The sequence below is a fragment of the Homo sapiens genome, chromosome X, assembly GCF_000001405.40.
Source record: "Homo sapiens chromosome X, GRCh38.p14 Primary Assembly".
In the NCBI taxonomy this organism is placed as follows: domain Eukaryota; kingdom Metazoa; phylum Chordata; class Mammalia; order Primates; family Hominidae; genus Homo; species Homo sapiens.
The window spans coordinates 69,500,779-69,517,670 of NC_000023.11; the positions used below are offsets into that span (position 1 = coordinate 69,500,779).

Genomic DNA, 16,892 nt, shown 5'->3' on the forward strand with positions numbered 1-16,892 from the left:
TAGCCTGCAAATAGGAGAGAAATTACTCCAACTATGAAGGCAGGATCCAGGCAGATCCTGACAAGCGTCAGCTCAAGCTGCGCTTTAGCCATCCTGACACTCTTCTTACAGATTCACCCTTAATTACATGCCCTTCTTTCCATCTTTTTCCCCCATGACCTTTTAAGATCTGAGCTTAACAGAAAGCTCCTGATGCAACCACACTGGTCACTTTAAACAGCTCCCACTTTGTCTTCTTCCTAATTGTCAGCATTTCACTGCAAGAAACCTTCCCCTTCTCCCTCTCCCTCAAGTTGTCTTCCCCTCTGCCTGGTTTGAGGGCACTCTATTGCTCTTCTTGTTCAGTCTGGGCCCCCTCAGGAGTGACCCGCCTCCATCCCCTGGCTTTAGCCTCCACTAACCCGGGAGCAGGTGGAAAGAAAGGGCTGAGAAGAAGGACTGGCCAGGGCCCACCAGCTCTGGGGGAACAGCGGGCCACTCCAGTTCCCCTCCCCACCTTGGCTATTCTGCTCCAGGGGCCGATTAAGGCCAATGCCTTCCCTTCCCCCATCCCAATTTCTTGGGTCATCTGAAGTTAGAGAATGAGAGCCTCTTCTGACTGTTGGTTTGCTAGCACTTCTTCTTTGTGTGCAGCGGGAACTGTCTGGGTAAGTTATTGTTATATTGTGCTCCTGTGATAAATGGACCTTTGTGAGACACTTTTCACCCTGTGTGTGCTTGGGGAGAGGGAGGGAGTCTTGCCTGAGTGACTTCTCACAGAAAGCTCCAGAGGTGCTCAGAGCTGATAGCCTAGACCTGGCAGGCTGCTCTTTCATTGGCAGTCAAGGGTGTCAATCACTGTGGCCCTGCCAATCAGCTCCGAACTAGGTATCTGTAAGCGATTAGCTTTCTTTGTTAGAACACTGAACCCTCCAAGGACTAAACAAAGAATGGCTCAGGAAAGACAGTTCCTAGGTGGGCAGGGGCAGTCGTGCCAGTGTCACTAACTGGAACTCTTTGGTTTCATCCTCTTTCTAGCCCTGCCTCCTAGCTCCTTTCAATTCTACTTCTTTCATTTCCCTCCCATGTGCATTTATTTTCTCTGTCTCCACTGCTGCTGCCTTTGTTCAGCCCTCCACACCTCTCACCTGACTACTAACCAGTCTCCCAACTAGTTTCCCTGCCTGCCGTCTCACTCCCTCCAATCCAGTCTCCATGCTGCAGTCAAATCAATCTTCTAAAAATACAAGTCTGATCGTGTCACCTCCTGCTGAAAACCTTTCGGCCTGTTCCATGGCTCCTAGTGCCCTTGGGATAAAGTCCAAACTACTTAGCATGGCACCCAGGGCCCTTCATGATTTGGCTCCTGCCAAATCCTCAGCCTCATTTTGGCAGTGCTCCCACTTCACACCTAGTCATGATGAACTACTTTGCAGGTTTCTGAACGTACCATTCCTGGCGTTACTTCTGGTCCTTTACACATAACATTCCCACTGCCTGGGACATCCTTCACACACCGCCTTCTTTGCTACCTGTCCAGCCGGTCCTTACTCATCCCTTAAGGTTTCAACTAAACTCCTTCAGCTCAAGACACATATTTTACTCATGTCTATATTGCTGATGCCTAATACAGCATCTAGAATGTAATAGATCCTCAATAGATGTTTGACAAAGGAATGAATCAATGAATGAATGACTCAACTCCAGCGGCTGTGTGCAGAATCATCTCTGAGGGAATCTGGCAAAGTTGACTGGTCCCTCCCTCTATGGGAGGGACACCTACCATCCTTATTGCACTAGGTTGCAATTTCTTCTTTAACATGTCTGCCTCTCTAATTCAACTGTGAGCACCTCAAGGGCAGGGCCGTCTGATTCACCGCAGTATCCTACTTAGCCCCTAGCACAGTGCTTGTAACATAATGAATAAATAGGCCTCCCAAATGCCTGACAGTTTTGTCCCTTGTCTCATTTCCTGCTACTCCCTTCCCCACAAATTCTCACCATCAATATAGCCAAACTGCCACACTCGTGGCTTCACAAACATACAAAGCTGCTCCCTACCCCTGAAACTTTTCATCTGCATTCCTTTTATTTGGAATGCCCTTCTCAACCACCCACCCTAATCCTGCTACTTTAGAAACTAGCTCCATTTGTCCCTCTTCCAGAAACCTTTTATGTACCCACCCCAGTCCACCTCTGAGTAGTGCTAACGATGCCCACCCATTTCATTTGATCCTTGGCATCCCTTCGTGTTACTCAGGGGAAAACCAAGACTCAGAAAAGGAAAAGACTCTCAAGGGTACACAGCATATCAGCAGTTGAGTTATTTATCCAAGGCTCTAGTTCATGAATCCTCCCACTAGCCAATATACATGTCTTGTTTCCTTATATAGACTATAATTTCCTTTAAGGAAGGAATGCCTTGGCTCTTTCATCTTTCCAGGGCCTTACTGGAGTGTTAAGAGAATTCTAGAGTCAGACTGAGTTTCTTTTTTAGCTGCTCTGGTTACTTTAGGCAACAACCACACTAAACCTCAGCTTCTTTGTATGTAAATGAAGATAACAGTAGTACCTATCTCATAACACTGTTGTGAAGATTGGATGACGAATGCATGCAAAATGTATAGAGCAGTACCTAGCACATAGTACGCGCTCAATTAAGGCTATTTTCTTTATTGTTATTCTTAACATTAACAAATGCTTGCCGGCAACGGTTGACAAAAAATTACAATGTGAGTTACTGGGAGTGAGGAAGGCAAGCAGACCACAGGGTCAGTGGAGTCCAAACAAGGTTAGTGGCGCGTCAGGATGTTTGTACGTCCGAATTCCTAGTGCCATGTGACTCTGTGAGGGCCCAAGCACATGGTTCCATCCGGGCGGCGCAGCTTCTCTAACTCTCAGTCAGCTATTCTCAGCAGCCTGTAGGGGGAGCCAAAAAGCTAGGACGGGGGCTGGTGCTTGGGTGGGGGGCGGGCGGGTGGGGGGTGGAGGCTGCTGGAAATATTCCTAAGGGCAAACACCGACACCCCACCACTACTATCTTAGCCCACCGCCTTGCCCCCTCCAGGACGCTCTCCAAACTCAGTCTTCCTCAGCAGCTAAGCTGGGAGCTGTCCTTCAGCACCAAGGGCCGCCTTGTCCTCGGGCAGGACGGTGAGGGCGAAGGTGGAGTTAGGGACACTGGACTGGTCCGATCCGCAGCCGGCTCGAGCGTCTTCCAGTCACGGGGACGGCGGAGGCGACCCAGAGAGGCAGCAAGCAGCTACGAGATGCCTGCTGCTCCTTGCCTCCAAGAATCACCCTCAGAAGTCCCCTAGCCCTCGGGGGAGTGAGGGACGGCCATGGAGAGGAAGGCGGGCGCCCGGGTTAGTGGGGGAGGGGGAGCGCCGAGGCCTGGGACTCAGCGTGTGGCATGTGCACGCGGGCAGCGGGCGGATGAACGGAGGCGCTGAAGTGAATGGAGTTGGGGGTGGACTGGAAACATCCCCAAACAGCACCGGCTGCGGCCGGCGGGGGCTGGGGCGGGGTGGGGTGGGGGGAGTCCTGAGGCGCAGGCGCAGTCGGGGCACCAGTCCCGCTCCCTCCTCCTCTCCGTGCCTCTTTCTCCGCCCTGCTCCCCGCCAAACACACTTGCACAGGGGCTCTCAAGGTGTTCTCCGCACAGCGGAAGATGGCGACAGACTGAGGGTGCATGGCCAGCGGGAGCCACGGGGCCGTGCCGCTGGGCTGCAGCCACAGCGGTGCGAACGAGAGGCGGAAGCGAGAGGCGCACTAAGTAAAGCCCGGTGTCTGCGTCCGGCGCCTGTGGCGCTGCCGGGAGCCAGGTGGCCCGCCCGAGCCGGAACTCCAGGAGCAGCGGGTGCGGAGCCAGAGCGGAGCCCGCCAGGGACTGGCCCCGGCGAACACCCGGAGCGCGAACGAAGCCCGAAGGGCCCGGCAACGGACCGGCCGGCCGGCCTAGGAGGGCGCGAGCGAGGCAGGGAGCGGCGTGGAGCGGGCAGCGGGCGGACGGGCGGGAGCGGAGCGGCGCGGGGCGAGGGGAGCGGAGCGGAGCGCGGCGGCGGGGCCCGCACGGCGGCGCTGAGGGGCGCAGAGCTGCGCCGAACCGAGACGGCCGGTTTGGAGTGCGAGCCGGGCGGCCGCCGGCGCGGAGTGAAGTGGCACGGAGCCGAGGGCAGCTGAGGGGCCCGACACTATGAGGAGTGCGGCGCCGCCGCCGCAGCCGCCACCGCCCCAGTGCCCCGCACCGCCCCCAGCCGGGACGCCGGGCAGCGCCTAGCGGGCCGGGCGGCGGCGCCCGGGCTGAGAGCGACGGAGCGCGGGAGCGGCGCGGAGACGGCACCAGAGCGCCCCGCGACTCCGGCCTGAGCGGGGCATCGCGCCGGCCGGCCTGCCTCACCATGCAGCCCCCGAGGTAGAGCCTGGACGGCGCCGAGGAGCGCAGAGCGGCGCGCAGCCCGCCCGCCCCAGACGGCCGTCTGGCCTCGCGCCTGCCTGTTCCCTCCAGCCCGGACCCCCCTGAAATATGTTCAGGGGCGCTTGGATGTGGCCCGGGAAAGACGCCGCCGCGCTGACTATCTGCTGCTGCTGCTGCTGCTGGGCTCCCAGGCCGAGCGACAAACCTTGCGCCGACTCCGAGCGGGCGCAGCGATGGCGACTGTCCCTGGCGTCCCTGCTCTTCTTCACCGTGCTGCTCGCTGACCATCTGTGGCTGTGCGCGGGGGCCCGGCCCCGGGCCAGGGAGCTGAGCAGCGCCATGCGGCCCCCATGGGGGGCCGGCCGGGAGCGGCAGCCGGTGCCTCCTCGCGCGGTGCTGCCGCTGCCGCCGCCGCCGCCCGGCGAGCCCAGCGCGCCCCCAGGCACCTGCGGCCCCAGATACAGCAACCTGACCAAAGCCGCCCCCGCCGCCGGCTCTCGGCCGGTCTGCGGCGGCGTCCCAGAGCCCACGGGGCTGGACGCAGCTTGCACCAAATTGCAATCTTTGCAGAGACTTTTCGAACCGACTACTCCGGCCCCCCCTCTGCGGCCCCCTGACTCCCTTTCCCGTGCCCCGGCCGAGTTCCCCTCCGCCAAAAAAAACTTGCTCAAAGGCCACTTTCGGAACTTCACTCTCTCCTTTTGCGACACCTACACGGTCTGGGACTTGCTGCTGGGCATGGACCGCCCCGACAGCCTGGACTGTAGCCTGGACACCCTGATGGGGGACCTGCTGGCCGTGGTGGCCAGCCCGGGCTCCGGGGCCTGGGAGGCGTGTAGCAACTGTATCGAGGCGTACCAGCGGCTGGACCGACACGCTCAGGAAAAATATGACGAGTTCGACCTCGTGCTGCATAAATACTTACAGGCGGAAGAGTACTCAATCCGGTCCTGCACGAAAGGCTGTAAGGTAAGGACTGGCTTCCGCAGCCACAGCAGCCGCCCTGGGCAGCGGCAGCGGCCGCAGTGGGACCGGGAGAAAAAAGGAAGTCTCCCTTTCTACCCACCCCACCACTCCCACCGTGCCCAGTGCAGCACTACCAGTGCCACCCTGGGACCTTCCCTAGTGAAGAGGCCTCAGGGATTCAGGTCAGGTAACCACCTGGCTAACTTCTATTAATTCCGGGTTTGGGCACCTTAGGCCTGGGGCTTCCTGGCGCCCTGCTCCCTCATGAGTGGGGAGGGGCCGCAGGGCCCTGGGCTGACAATGAGGTGGCAGGAGGGATTGTGCTCCCCCCAGCCTCCATCCTCAGCCAGCCATGCCCCTCTCCTTTCAGAGGCTGGAACTGAACGTCCTGGGACTGGCTGGTGCAGGGGGAAGGCCAAAGATGGGAGGAAGAATATTTGGCAACCAAACCCTCACCCTTTGGCTTCTGCCAGTGGGTGAGAGGACGAGCACTCCTGGTGGTGGGGCACACCACACACTTGACCTTATGTGACCTGAGGTGACTGGCCAGAGCCGAGGCAGGTCGAGCCCAGGGGCTGCCTGTCTTCTCCCAAGGAAGTCACCTGCAGGCTCTTCTCCCCTGACAAAGGAAGGAGCTGGGAACAGGGAACAGCGACTGGTGGGAAGGCCACTGAAGGTTAGTGCATTCTCATACAAAACTCCCAGTGCCTTCCCAGCACCCCATGGTGACAGTGGGGGGAACACTGGCTTTCTAGCTGCTGGGGATAGGTATCCAGAGGAGAGGTGAGGCAGCTGCAGACCGGCCCGCCTAGGGAAGAGCTGAGTGTTAAGAAACTTCTTGACCCTCGGCGGGGTTGCTCTGGACAGTTAGGTGGGTGAGGGCTGCAAACATTTGGGACTTGATGGTACTGCCCTGCTCGCCCAGCCTGGCCAGGTGACCTGCCTTTGGGAGGAAAGAGAACAGCAAGGTCAAAGGGTCAGATGACAAGGAGACCAGGAGGGGTGGTGGCCTCACACATCCTCGAGCTGGGGCCAAGAGCTGGAGAGTGAGACAGTTGCTTTCTAGCCTAGCTCGTGTCCCTCCAAGACTTTGGGGAGGGGCAGAAAGTGCCATTTTCCATCCAGCATGGCCCTTGTGGACTTCTGCAGGGCTTCCATGCTTTTAGCGGGTTCCCTAGGGATTGGGGCAGAGGGTTGGGAAGGAAAAGGGTAGTTCCTCGCTCCTGACTTCACTTTCTCCTTCTCCTTTTTCCTGCTCTCGTAACCTAGCAGTCTCCCTCCCGCCTCCCTCAGCCTCAGCTGACTCACTGCCTCACTCACACTACCAAATGAGATATTCCACTTCTTAAAGGTATACAGACAGATAGACACACACACTGCCATACACCATCACCACCACCCCGGGCAAAGTCACATAGGCATGCAGAGAGGTCGTCACACCCACAAACAGTGTCATTAGAAGCAGATGCCGTGTCACACACACGCACATCTCCCCATGGTATCAGAGACACGCAGGCAGAAGTACTGTCACATGAAGAAGGGCACATTTTGTCTTACAGAGACACATACCCTCGATGTCAGCCACGGACACATACACTCAGTGGGAGCAGAGAGACAGGGTCCACAAGCAGATGGAATCAAGGATGTCTGTTTTTTGTGGCCCTCCCTTCAACCCCATGGCCCTGTTTTTTGTTTGTTTGTTTTGTTTTTTTCCTCAATCACCAGTATGAATGAGAGGCATGCCACAACTTCCCCATGGGGTTTTCTCCGTGTTGTAGTTGACTCCGATTTCTGTCTGGACCTGAACTAAATACAAATCTCTCATGTTGATTGTTTTTACCAAGCAGTGTGACGTAGGAGAAATACATCTGATCTCTCCAGTTCAGGAGGCCTTATCACCTCTACTTCTTGTTAGTGGTATGACCTTGGGCAAGTCACTTCACTTCTGTAAGCTTTCATTTCCTCATTTGTAAAACAGGGATCATCATCCTTGCTCTGCCCACATCCTGGGTCTTTTGTGGGAAGAAGGTGCAGATGTATTTTGTAATAAGAATATAACATCTGACATTAATGTAATGCTTAAGGTTTTTCCGCCCCTCTCGTGTGTGTTATGAGATCAAGGAGGCTGGTGATACTAGCACCACTACTCCCATTTTACAGATGAGGAAACTCAGGTGCAAGGGGATCAAATGGTTTGCCCTAAGGTCACTCAGCTAATGAGCAGGAGTGCCAGGACTCCAGCCCACGTGTTTTGGTGCCAACCTCGTGCTTTTGCCATGGCCTCACATCAAGTTCCTGATGGCCCTCCCTCCTCTCCTTTGTCTTCTTGTCTGTCTCTCTCCAGCAAACCAGCGAACTCCTCCTGTGCTCTCGCTGCCTGCTGTGCCGGCAGAAGGGCAGTGCCAGCTCCATAGCTCTCTTCCGGCCTTTCCCACCCTTGTCCAATGCTCTCTCCCTCAACTGAGGCCAGACCCACCTGGCTCTCGAATCCAGCTGTATGATGGGCACGAAGGGAAAAGACAGCCCTGCTACCCTACTTGGACTGTAGGCTCCTCTCTCCTCAGTCCCTCACCCCACCTCCCTGGCAGGCCTTACTTGCCATTCCCAAACCCCGTTCCTGGGCTCCAAGCCCTCCTGTCTGGTCCCCACCCCAAATGGGATCCCTGCGAGATGACGCCCCACCCTCAGAGCTTCTCCTGAGTGGAGAGACCACAGCCCCAGGCCAAGATGAAGAGGCTTTCTTACTTCTAGAAACCAAGCTGGGAACCTCTGTTTCAGAGCCAGGTGACCCCCTGTCCCCAGGACCCTGTACTGAGTGCATCAGTTAGCTCTTCCCTGGGTGGCCCCAGAAACCCTGTTCTCTGCCTTTGCAATATCTGCCCCCGTTTCAGGCCACACAGGGCCCCACGAATCATACCTGTCCTCGCTGCTGCCTGTGACACCTCCCAATTTAGTACCAGCTGCAACATTTCCTTAATGTGCAACTGACTTCCTCTCACACAGCAGGGCAATGTAACTTAGGTAGGCCGATGCCCTTCCCCGCCCTGGCCTCTCCCAACTCCCAGGGTCATGCCTCACCTCTCTCTTAGCTTCCTGTGCATCCCCACAAGCCCTATTTCCTCCAACCCCCACCCCACTCTCTTGGCCATAGCTAGGGTTACTGGACAACCACCACACTCCCCCATGGCTCTCCATCCTCCCAGTTCTGCCACACTCCTGCCTTTCTGATTGCCTCTTCCCCCACCTCTGTCTCTTTCCTACTCTCTCTTCAGAACATTCAGACTAGGGGGAGTGATGGAGATGGGGGCAAAATCCTGGCTTCTTCTCTCATAGCTGTTGATCTGAGGGGAAATAGAGGCCCAAGGGAGGGGCAGTTCTTAGCTCTCTCACCAGCCATAGGGTTGCATTAGTAAAGATGAGTGCCAGGGAAGGATGTGATAGTTCTGCTCTATTCCAGACTGACCCAAACCCACCTGGCAGACAGTGTGTTTGATTTTGGGTCTCACACTGACTGGGCTGAGAAGGAGGCAGGAACCCATGTTCTTCTGGAGAGAGTTGAAGGAGGTGTTTCACCTGGAGAAGAGGTGACTCGGGCAGATATGCTGTCTGACTTCACACCTCAGAATAGTTGACATGGTATAAATGAAAAAGCATGACCTGCGTGGCCCCAAAGGGCTTTTATAGTTAGAAAGTTCTAGGTTAAAACCTAGTTCTTTTATTTATTACCTGTGTAACCTTGAGCTAAGGACGTCAACTCTCTGAGCCTCACTTTTCTCACCTGTAAAATGGGGCTAATTCATCGTAACAGTCCTGTGAGGTCATTATTAATGAGAAGAGTCTTTACAGTACCCAGACCTGCCATATCAGAGTTGCTCAGTTTCTTCCTTTCAAAAAAGGAACAGACTGCCTTAGGAGGAAGTGAGCTCCTGCTCCCAGGAAGTGTCTGGCCCGATACAGGTGGACCCTTGGGGAAAATGCCGTGGAGGCAATTCTAACACCAGATTATGAGCAGAGTTGGACCAGGTGACCTTTGAGGTATATTTCAGCCTGGATTTTAGGCCTGTGAGCAAAGCTTGCTCATTGAACAGCAGCACTGGATGGGGAGGGCTGGGGAAGGAGGTTGGTCCTAACGCCCACACAAAGAGAGGGGGTGGGGGGCTGCCAGAGCCAGCGCCTTGCCTTCTGCCCGTACCCGCTGGGGCCCTGCTCTTCCTCCACTCCGGCTGGCAGCTGTTTCTGCCTCACTGCCTTCCTCTCTCCTCCCACCTGCCACAGCTTTCCTGCCAAGCAGGACTCCTTGCTAACACTGGGTATGAGGGGTGCTGAGAGCAGGGAGCTCAGGGCACTGGGTAAAGGACAGGAGCCCCAAGTTGGCCAGTGGTGTCTGTTTTCATCACACAGCTTGCAGTCAGGAAGCAGTGCCCCACAGGCAGCCTCCCTGACCCAGGGCTCTTAGAGCCAGAGAGGTACCCTGGTCCCTGTTTGGGGGTAGAGGAAGGGGCAGGCTGTCTATAAACAGCCTCCCGGGAGCCATGGCAAAGCCTGCCCTTGGGGAGGGGCCTCCAGATCCACAGAAGCTCATCTCTTCACCAAGGAATGTGAGCATGGGGTTCTGGGAAGGAGCAGGAGCCAGGAATCCTGGAGCAGGCAGAGAGAGGAGGCAATGTTTATAGTGAGGACAAGTGAGGACCCACCAACATCCTTTGTTCAGTGTCCCAGTCTCTTGTCCTTGGACCCAGTGACAATCACTGTTACCTTCCTGGAATAGCACACAGTGAATTAAGACTGGGAGTGGGAAAGTGGTCACTCCCACCCTGACCTGCCCCCACTCCAACCTCCATGTTCTTCCCACGTTAGCTCACACCCAACATGCCTATCCACTTTCCAATGACCCTACAACCTTCCCAATCTTCTACTTATCACCCTACGCTCTTCCTAAGCCACACCCACACCTTACTCCCTCTACCTACAGTCCTCCAACCCCTGCCCCTCCTGACAGTTATCTCCACCCCCTTCCACCTCAACTCTGGACCTCACTCCCCACCTCTTTCCTCTCAACAGTCAGCCCCTCACATTCCACATTACTCCCCCTATTCCCATCTCCCACCTGACACCCCTCCCAAACCTTTACTCCAAGATCCCACACCCTCTTCTGGCCTGCATGCCCCTTGGGCCTTGCATCACTCACACCCCACTCACACTTTACCTCCCTTCTCCCCATCCTTTTTCTTGCTCTCTTTCATCTTCTGGTCCTCTCTTCCACCCTCTTTCCTCCTGCCTCCCCCTCTCCCTCTCTGCTCTCTTTCTCCCACTTCCCTTCTCTCGTTACCATTCAGGGTAGACATGTACATGTGTGCATGCACACACAGACACACATTCATACAGACACACATCCCCCGGTCTTCTTCATGGCTACTTCCCATCCTTCCCGCAGGCTGGTGCCTGACTACTACAGTCACCATAGCAACGGGAACCTCCAGGAAGGATACACTGGTATCTCCTGAAGGTGGGGGTTGGGGGAGTTAGGTGGAGAAAGGGAGCCTAACAGCCTCCCACCCAATACCATGGTCTGGCAGGAAGAGTCTGCTGAACATGGTGAAGGTGGGAGTGAGGAAAGGGAAGACAGTGGGTGGAACCAAGATCAAAGGAGGGTCAAGAATCTCCCAACACATCGTAAGCATGCGAGGGTGCTTCTAAGCCATGCGGATGCATGTTGGTCCCCTCTGGATGTGTCAGTACCCTAAGGAAAGGGTATACTCACTTTTTTACATGTGGGTAGGGACATAGGCTGAACCTCAGACTCAGGGGCGGGAGTGTGCCTTAGAAAAACTCCTTTGGGGCAGTTATTCTGTGCCCCCACCCTCTGAGGCAGTTTACCTTCTGTGTGCCCATACAGACTGGGCATCAAACCTGCCCTCCCCAGCTCATTTCTCAGCCACATGTGGATTCCAGCTGCCAGTGTTAGCTGAAAGCCAGGGGTGGCCCCTGCTTCTGGGGATCTGGACAAATCTGGACCCCTACAAGCACCATTCTCCGATGCTGGCCTGGTAGGTCTCTGGGGAATGGGTATGTTTGCGTTTTGTGTGATTACAGGCACACAGACCAGAGTGTGTGCAAGAGGCCAGGGATGCTGGACCAGCCTTTTCTCCCTGGGCATAAAAGTGGGCTCAGTAACGCCTGAATTTTTGATACTGTTAGCCAGATAGGTGCTTAGAGGGGAGGGCAAGGGCACCAGGCGAGCTGCAGCTGGCTCTGGAGAGGGAAGGAGTTACTATGGAGTGACAGGGACTGCCAGGGCCAAAGCTCCTGCTCGAATGCATTCTGGAGAAAGGAGCTGGAACCTGAGCCACAAGTCTGTGCACCAGAAGATGAGGCCAACTGGCTGCAAAGACGAAAGGGCTAAGAAAGGGGAAGGAAAGAAGAAAATTGCGAGTCTTTGAGTGCCTAGGAGATGCCAGGGGCTTTATATATGTTCATGAACTCATTTAATCCTGGCAGTCATCCTAGCAGGCAGGCACTATCATGATTCCCATTTTACACATGAGACAACTGAGGCTCAGTGAGGTGAAATGACCTACCCAGGCCACATAGCAAAAGGACTGGCATACAAACCTAGGTCTGTCTGTTCTTTCTCCAGTGCACAGATGCATGAAGAAAATGCTAATAATCTCCTCCAACTGTCAGAGGTAGTGCCCAGCTGGCTACTGAGAGGCTGGGCTGAGAAGCTGGGCCGACTGGAAGGGAGGCCCAACAGAGCCTATTGGTAGCTTAGAGGTCCTCTGGAGTGGCCCAGATCCAAAACGAGGACCCACCAACATCCTCTTTGTTCAACGTCCCAGTCTCTTGTCCTTGGACCCAGTGACAATCACTGTTACCTTCCTGGAATAGCAACAAGAGAATGGGCACAGGGAAGGAACTGCAAAGGAGATGGGAGGACCTGGGCTCCTCTCGCCTGGAGGGAAGGTATCTCTGTTATATTCTCAGCCCCAATCTGCTGGAGGGATCAAGCAGAGCACGAGGGGAGAAGGTGCAGAACATTAACCTAAGTTAGTCCCTAAGCAGGCCTAATGCAGACCTGAGACCCTGGCCTCCACATCCACTACACCTCAACATGTGCAGTTTCTCCATATCCTTGCACATGCTGGTAGAGCTGGAAGGGAAAACGACTGCAGTAAGACTTTGTTGCCCCAGAGTCCGCTGAGGCCTGGCCTGGGCTTTGGATGCCCAGTTCCCATGCAAGGGTTTTGGTGAGCCCCTAAACTTGAACACCTAGGCTTTTCTTGGGGATTGAAGGAAGTGCCAGTCCACCAAGTTCTGCCAGAAGAGGGGCATTTGGTGGTGATGGGTGTTACCAATGTTCCCTGTCTTATTTGGTTTTAAGAAGATAGCATGGCTACCTGGCTGATCTGTGAAAGGTGAGCTTGTCTGTTTAGTGTTGAACTCATTAAAACTTCCAACTAAGTTAATCTCTTAGAATTATTATAGTCTCAGAATCTTATAATATCTTTTTTTCCAGTTAACCAAAAAGGCCTTTGAGAAATTTTGGAAAGTAGAAGTATAAAAGGAAAAAAGTCCCAGAGCACTTAGTCTTTTTTTTTTCCCGTGGTAAAATGTACATAACATAAAATATACCATTTCAACTATTTTTAAGTGTACAATTCAGTGGAATTAAGCACATTTGCAGTATTGTACAATTATCACCACTATCCATTTCTAAAACGTTTTCATCCTCCCAAACAGAAACTCTGTGCCCATTAAACAAGAACTCCCAGCCGGGCGCGGTGGCTCACACCTGTAATCCCAGCACTTTTGGAGGTCGAGCTGAGCAGATCACCTGAGGTCAGGAGTTCAAGACCAGCCTGGCCAACATGGCGAAACCCCAGCTCTACTAAAAATACAAAACTTAGCCGGGCATGGCGGTGCACACCTGTAATCCCAGCTACTCGGGGTGAGACAGGAGAATCACTTGAACCTGGGAGGTGGAGGTTGCCGTGAGCTGAGATCGCGTCACTGCACTCCAGCCTGGGTGACAGAGTAAGACTCTGTCTCAAAAAATTAAAAAAAAAAAAAACTCCCCATTCTTCCCTCCTTCCAGCCCCTGGTAAGCATTATTCTACTTTCTGTCTCTAGGAATTTGAGTAGGTACTTCATATAAGTGGAGTCATACACTATTTGTCCTTTTGTGTCCAGCTTATTTCATTTAGCATGAACATTTAGTGTTCAAGGTTCATCCATGTTGCAGTATACATCAGTACTTCATTCCTTTTTATGGCTGAGTAATAGTCCATTGTATATCTATGCCACATTTTGTTTATCCATTAATTTGTTGGTGGGCGTTTGGATTATCTCCACTTTTTGGCTATTATAAATAATGCTGCTATGAACATTGGTGTACAGGTATCCTTTGAGTCCCTGCTTTCATTTCTTTTGGGTTTATATTAATACCTAGGAGTAGAATTGCCAGATCATATGGCAATTCTATGTTTAACTTTTTGTGGAACTGCCATCCTGTTTTCCACAATGGCTGAACCATTTTACATTATATTACATTTTATGTTATACATTCTGCACCATTTTACATACATAACAGCAGTATGCAAGAATTCCAGTTTCTCCACATCCTTGTCAACACTTGTTATTTTCTGAAGTGTTTTCGATAATAGCCATCTTGATATGTGTGACTATATATTTTTACATAGTTGAAATCATACTGTTTTTTACCCTGCTCTTTTAAACTTGTTACACTATCTCTTCATGTAATTAAATATTCATAAACATCATTCTTGATGAGTGTACAATATTCCATCACATGAATGTAATGTAATTTATTTAACTAGTCCCCTATTGACATTTATGTTACTTCCAACATTTTGCTATTATAAATAATACTGTGATGATATTCTTTGTTCATAAGTCTGTTTCAGAACGATTCTTTTTTACGAATAAATGCTATCTCAGTCATTTTTTCTTATTTATCTACTTTGCTGAGTTTTTAAAATCACAAAATAATGCATGCTGTTTGTACCAAATCTAACAATACAGCGGTTTATAAAGAAAACATTAATGTTCCTCCTATTAGCTCCCCTCCCAATCCCACTGCCTGAGGTCCCTGATGTTAACAATATGTAGTGTGTTCTCCTGCCCCTCTGTGCAGGCTTACATAAACGTCTACACACAAAATGACTTTTTCTTTCCTTTTGCATACAAATGGGAGCATAGACATTAATTCTGCAAGGTGAAGTTTCAGAGCTAGATGTACAGAATCAAAGAGTATTAACCTTTTTGAGGCTCTTGACATACATTACCAACTTTCTTTCAAATTACTGGGTTATTCTAGTTTATACCCTCACCAAAAGTGTGAGACTAATATGCAGCACACTTTTCCAGTATTGGCTATCACATCTTTAAAGCTTTACTAATTTGGTAGTTGAAAAATGGTACAACATTGGCTTTTCATTTTCATTCCTTAGGTCAGACATTTGTTTTTCTTGTTTATAGGCCATTTGTCTTGCCTGCTTTGTGAATTATCTTTTCATGTTTTGTGTTTTCCTTACTGACTCGTACATGCTTTTTTGTATGTATTAATGATATTAACCTTTTTCTAATCACATTTGTGGCAGATTTTTTTCATTTGTTATTTGCACCATAGAGCTGAAAGGAGGGAATGGAAAGGAAGAGAACTATTCCACACACTTTGTGTCCTTTATCTTACTTAATTCTTGCATCTTCCTTATGAAGTACATGATATTATTCCCATTTTACAGAGGAGAAGACTGGCTCAGAGAGGTTAAATGGCTAGCTTAAGCTCATCCAGCTAGTAAGAGTTGGAGCTGGGATTTGAATGGCAGCAGACAATGGTACCACCCAGTCTTTGCTGGTGTAATTATACTATCGGTAAAGCTTTGTGTGGTAAAGCTTTGTGCTAGTTGCTTAACAGGCATAATTTACTGAAAAGTAAGGGTAGGTACTTTTATTATCTCCATTTTACAGATGAGGAAAGTGTGGATCAGGGAAGTCCAGTAACTTGCCTGGGGTTTTATAACCAGTATGAGCAAACCTAGGGTTTGGACTGCATGACTGAGTTTAAAGATGTTTGACCCTGTCTTCCCACTGTATTTGATTACTCCCTAGGCATCAACTTCTTGGATCCAAATTGAGGCCCAGGAAGGAAAAGTGCCTTTCTCACAGTCACCAGAAAGTTAGTGGCTGAGTCCCTGTCTCCCTACAGGTGGTGACTTGTCCAAATTCACACAGTTGGTGGCAGAGCCAGAATCTGAAGCCAGCTCTAACTCTCTATCTAACTGGAGCAGGGGCTTCTCGATGAAGAGAATTTGTGGAATATGCTGGGGAGAAGGAGTTGGGGAGAAAGTGGAGTGCATAGATACCCTGAGACTTTTCTGAAGGAATGGACTCTGGCATTGGAGTCTTCCAGGGCAAGGCTACTCTAGAAGCCCCCAGATGGTAGGACCTGGGACAGGAGAACTCATGTTCTGAGGCAAGAAAATCTTTCTTCTGGAGACATTTGCCTTCCCTTCACCAACTGCTAAAGATTAAAACAGGAATAGTGAGCCTTTGGCCCTGGGTAGGAAGCTGATGGGCGCAGAAGAAGCAAAGCAGTGTTTGCCTCTTTTTAACACCTCCATCTCTCAGGGTGTGTGTGTGTGCGTTTGTGTGTGTGTTGAGGAGAGAGAGAAAGGAATACTTTGATTGTGGAATGGAAATGATCATTTGTAGCACCTAATATCCAAATGCTATTCCCCCACATCTACTTACAAAGAAAACTTTACTCATGTGGAGAATGGACTACGTAGACTGATTTTAGAGTCACGCCTCCCATCCAGACATACAAATCTCTCCCTAATTTGATGTGAAATTATGTCAGAATGAGATTTGAGTCCACTGGCTTCAGTGGTTGTAGTGAATTGAAGGGACCATCCCAAGGGCAATATGAGTATAAGAGTTTAGACACCGAAGTCCAGATTAACCTGACTTCAAATTTCAGTTCGAAATCTGTCTTCTCTGTGGAATAGCTGTTGAGAACTTGAACATATTCTTTAATCTCTATTGGCATCTCATTTTCCTCACCTTTGGAACTAAAAAATAGGGTCATTATGAGGCTTAAATAACATGAAGCATGCTAATCTCTTAAGAGCACAGTGCCTGCGAGATGGAAAGTGCTCAAGACATGCTAGCCCCCATTGTTATTATTATTATTGGCTGTGGACCTTGGACAAGTTATTTAAACTCTTTGGTCCTCCCTGTCCTCATCTGTAAAGATCTGTCTCTACCTCAAGGGATAGTTGTGAGGTCTCAGTGAGTTAATAAATGTCTGGGTCAGGTGATTAGAACAGAGCCTGGCATATAGTAAGCACTTAATAAATGGTAGCTATTATTATTCTCTCCTTAATTAGGTGTGTTTAATCCAAATGACTGCTTAATATCTAATTGATGTTGACAACACTGGGGTGGGATACTTAGGAGTAGGGAAAGGTAATTTGTGAACAGGAGGTGAAGTATCTATGGTAGGGGA

At 51.5% G+C, this 16,892-nt stretch overlaps 1 protein-coding gene across 3 annotated transcripts in view, besides 2 other annotated features; it reads left to right on the forward strand.

Moving 5' to 3' along the window:
* Positions 3,548-16,892, forward strand: part of NALF2 (NALCN channel auxiliary factor 2) — a 28,183-nt gene continuing 14,838 nt past the window's right edge. Inside the window, exons 1-2 of one of the 3 annotated variants that reach the window (XM_011530909.3) lie at positions 3,548-5,365; positions 13,103-14,333. In XM_011530909.3, the coding sequence (XP_011529211.1) occupies positions 4,505-5,365; positions 13,103-13,120 (879 nt within the window). In that variant the 5' untranslated portion in view covers positions 3,548-4,504 and the 3' untranslated portion in view covers positions 13,121-14,333. Of the gene's footprint in view, positions 5,366-5,732; positions 9,478-13,102; positions 14,334-16,892 lie in introns of those variants that run through there. The other 2 variants (XM_011530908.3, NM_015686.3) reach the window with 2 other exon arrangements.
* Positions 4,501-4,674: a silencer, noted in NCBI's record as "fragment chrX:68725122-68725295 (GRCh37/hg19 assembly coordinates)". NCBI's record gives its function as "represses an EF-1alpha promoter that drives an FKBP-Casp9 reporter gene in an ReSE screen in phorbol 12-myristate 13-acetate-treated (for megakaryocytic differentiation) K562 erythroleukemia cells {active_cell/tissue: K562(+PMA)}" and the evidence as "EXISTENCE:reporter gene assay evidence [ECO:0000049][PMID:32094911]".
* Positions 5,606-6,105: an enhancer, noted in NCBI's record as "H3K4me1 hESC enhancer chrX:68726227-68726726 (GRCh37/hg19 assembly coordinates)". NCBI's record gives its function as "activates a minimal SCP1, AML or CMV promoter by ChIP-STARR-seq in primed H9 embryonic stem cells {active_cell/tissue: H9 hESC(primed)}" and the evidence as "EXISTENCE:reporter gene assay evidence [ECO:0000049][PMID:30033119]".